The sequence below is a fragment of the Homo sapiens genome, chromosome 9, assembly GCF_000001405.40.
Source record: "Homo sapiens chromosome 9, GRCh38.p14 Primary Assembly".
In the NCBI taxonomy this organism is placed as follows: domain Eukaryota; kingdom Metazoa; phylum Chordata; class Mammalia; order Primates; family Hominidae; genus Homo; species Homo sapiens.
The window spans coordinates 31,170,473-31,180,471 of record NC_000009.12 but is presented as its reverse complement, the minus strand read 5'-3'; the positions used below and the strand labels follow the sequence as shown (position 1 = coordinate 31,180,471).

Below are 9,999 nucleotides of genomic sequence, written 5' to 3'. Positions count from 1 at the left end.
TCAGACAACCCTCTGAAAACCCAAAACTTTGGAAGCATTCTCTGTCTTTTCCTTTTCAAGAAGAGACCATGAGTTGGGAGTTTTTTCTCCTAATCATCTTGCTGTGCTAAGCGGAAAGGGACCATTGTGAGTGAATGCATGATAATCTAATCCTCCCCCCAACCTGTACTTTTTCTTCATGGCCTCCAAGCTCGCACTCTTTCCTGTTAGCACTTCAATTCAGACAAGACAGCAGAAATCAGTTCTTCAGCCCCCCTAAAAGTATGAATATTGAATACATGTTTTAGTCTTCTCTTTGCCTTCCTAGGAAGAAGTTAAAAGCTGGGAGTCTTCTCCTAATGGCACTGCACTGTGCTGGTGGGGAGAAACTATGACAAGTAAGTGCCACAAAAATTTTTACCAGCTTTGATGCAGCCAATTTTGTGCTCCCTGGGTGTGCAAAAGACTCTTAATATGTTTCTGAATTTTTCACAAAGGGAATTGGTCTGTGTACTGTTGTTGAGTAGGTGTCCCTGCATAATATACATACACACATTAATATTTGATTAATTAGATTGCTGGGGAGTGTATACATATATATGTTATGTATTATATATAAATTATGTTTTGTTATGTATTACAAATCGATGAAAACATACATATGAAAGTATTTGTATATATATTACAACTAACTGTGTGTGTGTGTGTACTTGCGGAAAACTGATAAAAAGATTTTTCTTAGATTTTACTTTCTTCCCAAATAGTTTTATTTTCAGAACTACTTTTTCAATGCTGAAGGAAAGCTTCACAATTTATTATAAACGCTTAAATAAAAAACAAAATATCCTATAAACAATATTTTAATGTGGTAATATATTTTCTGTCTCTTTAGGGTACTTTAGTAAAACTAAGAAAATCAGTTAGTAAAATGTAGTTTAACGTGAGACAAGGGAGCGGACATTAATATTCCATTATGAACTCACCAGCAAAGAGAATGCTGTGCCCCTCCACACAAGGTCCTATTCGCATATGTCATCTCCAGGAAGGTCAAAGCAAAACTAGTTTTTAAAAATTTTTTATCTTATATATGCTTATGAAGAAGAAAAGATGACAGTTCTCAGCAGTCACAGCAATACTTAATTTATTTAAGAGACAAAGATAAGTGACAGGTAGAGAATATTGCTGTCAAGCTTTGGAGACCTTGAGATAAAGTGAAACTCTTTTTGATATAACCAAAGGTCACATCCTTAGTACGTGAAGAAGCCCTTCCATGATCTTTTTTTTTTTTTTTTTTTTCATTTCTTGGTGTCAAAATGAGTTTGGATAAGTCTGGAATTGTTTCTCAGTTTTAATGGAACCAAGACCCCAAGTAGATAAGGCAAAAGGACAAAGCAATATGAAACTATGAACAATTAGGCTAAAATTATAGATTTTTCAAAATAATGAATTAAATCACTTTTTTATTTTTATAAACCATTGTCAGCATTAGAAAAGTTCCATAATCTTTGAAGAAATAATACAGGTTTGGACAATCTATTGTACAATTATGGAATATTGATTATTCAAAACTATGTATTGACAACTTTGTGCCATTGTCTACCATTATAGCTCTTTTATTTTAGTGAAATGAAATAATTATTCAAATAATCTCAAACACAATTACATACTGTGATGCATTTATGAAAGATAAATATAGGATTCTGTGGGCAACAGAGTGGGAATAGATGTGTTATTGGTATCAGGGAAATTGTTTATGAGGAAATGGACCTCACCAAAAAAGGACAATATGGTTAAACACAGGCAAAGGGAAGAGAATGTTATGGGGGCTGGCTTGACATACTCTTGTAGACCATGGGAAGGATTGGAAAGTAACAGTATCCTTTGGAGGAACTTTATAAAAGGAAATAAACTTTAAATAGAATGAATGCTCTGATGTTTACTAATTAATCTACCTCCAATTTTAACAAGTTTTATTTTCTGAATTTTTCCAATTCTGCCTATTAAATGCAAAAGTCTATAAGGAATAGTAAGAAAAAGGTAAAACTAGGGGTGCAACATCAATTTCCTCACAGAAAATAAACATTAAAGGAAGTAGGAGAGTGTAGTAGATCTACAGGAGAGACAATTCTGAGATACTAACTACCTAGGTAAACAGATGGTCTTGAGAGCCTTGATTTTTGCCCATATGATATTGTCAATCATATTACCATTATCTTTCCTTTGAATTTCTATATTACTGCAGTTACATATAGCTTGTTGATCCACTTTTAATTAAATATCATTATTAAAATACTTATAGCAGACAACACTGAAACAACTTTGGCTTTAACAAAATTACTCATCTTCACTTTGTCACTAAATCCCTTCTATTATATAGATAATGATATGAACATCCAGCAAAGAATGCCATGTTGACAGAGCTTGGAAAGCCATCTTACACCTTTAGCTACTATTTTCTTTTTCCCATAAATGGCCTGCTTTACTACAAGATTCCCTGCCAGTTACAGGGGTAGATTTCCATAGACCAGCCATATTTTTTCAAACAGTGCATTTATATTACAAATACCTGCTTGACTATTGTAACATGGCCCTGAGTATGTAGTAACAGTTTTAAGAATATGTGTTTTCATTTTTAATGTTGTCTTTTGGGAAGTTTGTTTGAGTGAATGTACAAGCTAAACTACCCAGAATAAATCTACCTTAATAAAAGTTTGAACAACAACAAAAAATGTTCTTATGAAAGTCAGAAAATATTCATTGTCTGTTAGTGCTAAATGCTATACAATACCTATAATAACAACTTATTATTAGCCACCTGTCATATGCCAAAGGTTTGGCTTATTGTATTTAATCTATGTGATATAATAGTTATATCATAATAACTACGTGATATAATAGTTATATTTTATCAAAAAAAAAATGGAAATCAGTGAGTTTATTTTACTTGTCAAAGTAACCTGGATTCTACCTAGGTTTGTCTGCTTTCATTTTGCTGTTTATCATACCTTTAACATTCATTTTGGATTATATAAGTCCTTTGGCTCTCATAGAAAAATAAAAATTTTTCTGTGAAATGTATGTCTTTAACTCTCTTACCTTCTCTCACTCTCCTATTCACTGTAATCATTAACTCTATTTTCTATATTTTTCTCTGCATAAATAGGTCTCCTGCACTCAATCAGCTGGGCTTGGCATACTTTGCATTGTAAATTGCCAAACTGTTGCTTTGATTCTTTGCCATCTCCAATAAACTTGGTCATAGAACTACTTCTGCCATTAAATAAATGTATGGCTGTAAGAACCCACATAACCATTCTGAACATCTTTTTTTCTCATCTCTACAAATAATAAAGGAGTCAATTTAGGCAATCTCAAATTTCTTTTAAAGCATTAGTAATACAATACTAAAATACTTAATGCTGATTTTTAAAATTTGAGCACATCTTAATTTGTGTAATTTTTGGAAATTGATTCTACATACTAATTTTGGCTCACCACGTCTTTATAAAAGCTAATATATCCTAAAATGTGTTTTATTAAAAATTGGTTCAATGAAGTGTTCCTTGAAAATGAGGTGCCCAAATCAAACAGGTTTGGAAAATTCTGCTTCCTTTATGCTTTTCTTTATGTTCAGTTAATTCCAATAGATGTTAGCATATTAAATTGTTATAGACATTGAATAGTGAAATAATTAGTATTTAACTCAGCTTTTTTTTTTTTTAAATGTTTCCTGGGCTTCTATCTTTTATCTCTTACCGGACTTCCTTTACAATATGCTCAGAGTTCACCAAACTCACATTGTTACCTGGGTTGAAAGAGTTTAGAGATGATTACTTTTAAAATGTATACATATATGTGTATTTATACCTGTGATTATACTTTATTTTTTAGCATTGCTATAACTTAAGAAGGTCCTACATAACTTTAGAAAATTAAATGTTTAATGTTCCTTAGATTTCTGTGCACTTGCGTCATATATATGGTTAATAGTGGAATTGTAGATGCCACACATGATGTGCAAGGTGCTATCCCATTTATCTTACATGCCACAAAATGAAAGCAGGAAAATAGGTATCCTTTAGAAGATATCATCCTAATTGTGTGTGTTTCCCAAAAGGTTATAGAGTGTCATTTATGAAATATGTATGATATGTGTAGATTTCTGCATATGAAACATGAAAAATTATAAAACGAGCAAGAGTGAGATACATCTATCAAACGTATTTGACTTTTGTAAGACAATGACATGAGAGTAAATTTGCCCTGGGAATATTATCAGAATAACAATTATTTTTTAATATTTTTGTTTTGACTTAGGGAAAATGGCTCAAAAATCAATAAACAACTAGACCAGCAATCTAGGTGTTGATTGATTCAGAAATTGTTTACTTCTTTGCATAATTCAACTACACAGACAATTATTGCCTAAACATATTGAAACTCAAATCCAAGATCCCACAGAGGGTATTATCGATTTTTATGAAAAAAAAAAAGCATATGTGTAGCAATGCATGACAATTAGATGTACTTCTAGACAATTGAGAGGGCATGACCATTCTCTGTAGGAAACCATGCACAACATTCATGTAAATTCATTAAATTTGTGACCAGTCACCCATAAAAGATGATTACATATGTCTGAATATGAGGTGACCTGATTGTCCTATTAAACACGGCTTTAGAGCAAACCATAACTATAATGGAGTTTACTGTGCAGAAAGATGAATAAAAATAAACAGGAGAGCTATTTTACAGTGTTTATGTGAGGGATATAAATAATTGAATCTAGTATATAATTAAATTTGCACAGTCTACATAAAGGCTCAAGGTAAGATGCGCTTAAAGATAGGATAGTAATGTTGTTTAGGTAATTGGTCTTCGGAAGTAAGGCTCAAAGAGAGACACACTTTCTCTAAGGGAACAACATTACCAACAAAAAAGGTTCTCTTGGGGGGTTGAAGTGTTCCTAAAACTGCTCCCTGACAAATAGATTTTAATTCAGTCGAAATGTTCACAGAGGTCTGAGGTAGAGAAACACTGAGGGTAGGGAGACTGTCTAATATGCTGTTAGAAACCTCACCACTTCTTATATTGTTATGATAAGGAAATCTGAATGATCTTTTATTGATTTGTGCTGAATGTTATGTTGTTAATTATATACCACCTTTAGACAAGAACTATGTGGCTAGTGGTTCATTTGAGCTGACAAAGCCTAATTTCTGTGCCCACCTTTACATATTTTGATTAAATAAGATTTCATATTGAGTAATATTAACTTCCTTTTATAATATTGATAAACAGCCCAATGTGGTAAATAGTGGGTGATTAAATATTAGCAATTTTTTTGCTCTAAATATACACTTTTAGGTCTACTATTTAATCACTGTCTGTGATAAGACTAAAGTTGATCTTACATTATCTTTTAAACTTAGTCAATACGCTCATTTTCTCACTGCACAGATAACAAATCTATTTACTGATCAGCCATTCCATCAAATACATAGTATTTGTATTTTTACCTAATTACCATAAATTCATTCCAAAAAAAAATCACAAACATTTTAACTTCATACCCACAAAGGACCATATGGTGCCGGGTGTTTCCTTCAATCAACTCTGTATCTAATAGAAGACATGGAAATGTTCATGAATATTTATTTCATAGTGAGATAAATGTCATGATAAAGAAATGTGCATAGTCATATGGGAACAGAATAGATGTATGCCCAAATCAGACTGTATTCAAGGAAAGCTTTCTAGAAATAAAACTTTATGTTGTTTATAGAAGAAAAGATAAGTTTAAGTTGTTTATAGAAGAAAAGATAAAAGGTAATTCCAAGGACATCACTCTGACTGAGCATGGAGGGGAGAATGAGGAAAAAACATTAGTAGTATGCCTAATAGCACTATGGGACACAAGTTGAAATCTATGAAATAAAAAACGCAAAGACATTTTGCTTGGGTTAATTTCAGTCAGTTTTTTTCCAGAATTTCCATTTTAACTAAAATTATTAGCCAGAGCTCATACACAGATCAGTCTGCAAGGCTCAACCAGGTCTGCGTGCTTCACATGTGTATCCTTTGCTGCACCTTCTACCTATGCTGATTTATTATTTAAACTCATCTGTGAAGTGCTTTGAAGAAAACTTTGACCCATTTTTAAATTGTGTTATTTAGCTTTTTAGTTGATTTCTAGTATTCTTTATATATTCTGAATACAAATCATTTTCATATGCGTGTATCCAAAATACCTTCTCTCTCTCAGAATCACCTATTCATTTGATGAATAATCTGATTGACAAATAATCTCCACTTCAATTAACGTACATTATAAATTTCTTTTGTATGAGTATTATTTTATGTGCATTACCATTGTAAAAATACTTTGGTACTGCAAAGTCATATAGATGTTCCTCTAAATGTATTTATAAATGTATTTACAAACATTCTAGAATGTTTTATTGTTTCAGCTTTAACATTAATCATATTAACAGGCTTAAATCTCTATTCAATCTCAAATTAACTTTTCTATATGGTGTAAGGTAGACTTGGGGTTTGTGTATTTTATCCCATATAAATATCCAATTGCTTTATCACTATTGATAGGAAAAAGTAACCTTACTAAAATATATTTTGTTGGCAGCCTTGTCAAAAACCAAGTACCTATAAATATGTATGTCAATTCTGGGCTTTTAATTCTGTCCTAGTGATCTATATGTCTATGAATTGTCTACTATTGAAAACTATACTATGTTTATCCTTGTGCAAATCTCTGTCTTTCGATAGGAGTGATTAATTCAATTACATTTAGTATAATTACTGATTAGGTAAGATTTTTATTTTATATGCCTATTTTCTTCCTTAACATCTGGTATCTTTTTCTGGTAACTTCTTCCTCCATTAGTGCTTTATTTCTGTATGTGTTAAAAAAATATTTAATCTGAATTTATTTCACAAGATTTTTGAGTTATATTCTTAATGGTTATCCATGAGAATTATAATTAACAATTTAAAATCCTAGTTCAAATTAATACCAACTTAATTTCAATAGTGTAACAGCTTTTGTTCAAATATAGCTGTTTTCTCCTGTTCTTTATTTATTGTCTAAGAAATTACATATTTATGCGTACATAATAAACCCATAAGCACAGGTTTATAATTATCACCAAATGCAGTTGTCTTAGAATCAGAAGAAAAGGAGTTACAAGTAGAAGTGCTTTCCTGTTGTCTTTTACATATACATATGCAATTACCTTTGCTGGTCTTTCTTCCTTTCTTTTTTTCTTTCTTTATTTGAGTTATTGCTTATTATCCTTTTGCTTATTCCCAAAGTATTCTTTTTGGCCAGCATTGTTTATTCCCAAAGTATTCTTGTTTGCCAGCAGTGTGATATCTCAGTTTTGTTTATTTGGGAATATTAATTTACCTTTAATTTTGAAAAATAGCTTTTGGAAACATAATTTTTCATTGAAGGTCTTCTTATTTCAGCATTTTTTAATATGTCATTCATCTCCATTTTGGCCTCCATGTTTTCTGAAAATAATTCAGCTGTTTATCTTATTGAGGATCTGCTGTATGTTATGAATACTTTTTTCTTGCTGTCTGCCAGAGTCTCTTTTTGTCTATTGATTTCAACAGTTTGATGATGATTTGACTAGATACTCCTCTCTTTTAATTTATCCTAATTTTCAAAGGATCATCAAATAATATGAGTACATATTTTTTTTAATCCACTGCATATATATTAAGAACTACCACGAGTCAGGCACTGCTCTAAGCATCTTAACCTAGTGACTGATTTAATCTTCACAAATATCTTACTATTAGATGAAAAAACTAATTTTATATATGGGGAAATTGTCCATTGAGGATATATGTTCAATTTCCAAAGACAAACAAACAGCAAAACCAACACTGTTACTGCAAGCCATCTTGCACTCAAACTTATGTGTTAGTACAACGCTATTAAACCTCTTAAAGACAGCATCACTAAGTTTACCTTCCAAGGAAAGAAAATAATTAAGAATGCCTATGAACATTGATTTTCTCTACACAATGGGACTTGGGATGTCATAGAAAGGAAGGCTGCAGCTTCATATACAAGCAATAAAAGGCAATAGCCTAATATACTGGTTGCAAAGCTTAGAAAATTCAAGGCATTTTATATTTGAATTAGTGAAGTTTGGTCTCAAATTCAGAGAAATTTTGTTTTCATTAGTAACGATGTGATAGATCTGAACCTGACTCTGATTTCAAGCCTTTAGGACTTACAGCTGAGTAAAAATGGGACTTGCACAGATGACCAATCATTCTCAAATTTGCTATACTTATCAGGGAAGAATTCAAGACAATTTCTTCTCATTTGTAAATGAAAGAGGGTACAAGCCAAGGTCTTCAGGACATGAAGAAATCAGAAAACAGTATTTCTATATAATATATAACTGAATTTCAAAGCATACGAATCTGTGGTCAGAATATGAGCCTCTTAGAAATTTCTTTGTTTGTGGTTTGACTGTCAGCTCAGATATGTTAAGCATTCTTTTTTTGATGACATGCTTTTTACTGAAAATTTTTCTATTAATTTAAAGTTTTATGGATGTAGAATTGAAATGAGTTTCTATTATGAAAATGAAGTGTCATAATTTTTAATCAGTATGAATCACCTTTGGGGCTGACTAATGAAAGACTATGAAAGGGACAGGAAGGATAACAAAAAAGCAATCATAAAAATCCAGATTATATTTTAAGGGCTGCAGTTTAAACTCTGAACAGTCACAAGTAACCATTTTAACACTCATCATTCTATATTCTGAAAACATTTGCCTTTGCTAGAGAAGTCAAATTTGCAGTGTTTCAGTTGTGGTAATAGTACATCAGTAACAAAATATTTTTACTTATTAATTCTTATTACACCTTCTACTCTATCAAATGAAATAATAATAGTAATAATAAAACAATTAATAATATACCTTTCAAATAATCAATTTTGGAAGCATAAAGGTAACAGTAAATTGTATATACATAGGACCATATTTAATTCATACTAAATAAAGGAAAACATTTTACTTTTACAAAAAAAGGATAAAGAAAAGTGAGATTAGTACTATAAAACAAGGATTTTGGAGTTACATGGCACAGGATAAAGTCTCAATGTTACGACTTTATAATTTTATCAACTGAATGAATCCAATTTTTAATAAACTATCCTTTAAAATGTTTCCTTTGCAGAGTTGTCAGAATGTTGTGAAACGATAAATTTCACAAGTAGTACTTAGAATAAGGCTTGGCTTGATATACAGGACAACTAGCAATTATTAATGCCATAATCTCTGGCCAGATGAGTTTAATTAAAAAGTCACAGGCAGATCACGAGGTGAGATCAAGACCATCCTGGCTAACACGGTGAAACCCCGTCTCTACTAAAAATACAAAAAATTAGCCAGGCATGGTGGCGGGCGCCTGTAGTCCCAGCTACTCGGGAGGCTGAGGCAGGAGAATGGCGTGAACCAAGGAGGAGGAGCTTGCAGTGAGCCGAGATCCCACCACTGCACTCCAGCCTGGGAGAAAGAGTGAGACGCCGTCTCAAAAAAAAAAAAAAAAAAAAAAAAAGTCATATTTACTATCAAGCACTATATCAAATAACAAAAAGGATATTTTATCTCAAATAAATAATTTTCAGATTGAGAACTATGAATTTTTGCTGGTAGAAATGTCCTGACATAGAACATTCAATATGTGATAGACAATATTATAAATAAAATTGATATCATTGACAAATTCAAAGATAGTGCATATTATATTCTGGTTGATTAATTTTTCTTCAAGTACATATACTTGCCTAAAACTTGTGAATAGTTTATATCAAATTTCTGTCACTACGCAGTTTTCAATTTTTATTTATGTGTGTAAAATAAGAATTGTATCATATTATTAAATTTCATTTTCATGCATGATTTGTAAAGTTTGCATAATATCCTATTTTCTATATGCAGCCTAATTCACTTAGCATTTTACAGTGAA

At 31.4% G+C, this 9,999-nt stretch overlaps 1 annotated feature.

The window, feature by feature from the left end:
- Nucleotides 8,844-9,013: an enhancer, noted in NCBI's record as "experimental_107952 CRE fragment used in MPRA reporter constructs". NCBI's record gives its function as "activates a minimal promoter by MPRAs in K562 erythroleukemia cells, with activity observed for the non-introgressed 9:31171542 variant allele {active_cell/tissue: K562}" and the evidence as "EXISTENCE:reporter gene assay evidence [ECO:0000049][PMID:34662402]".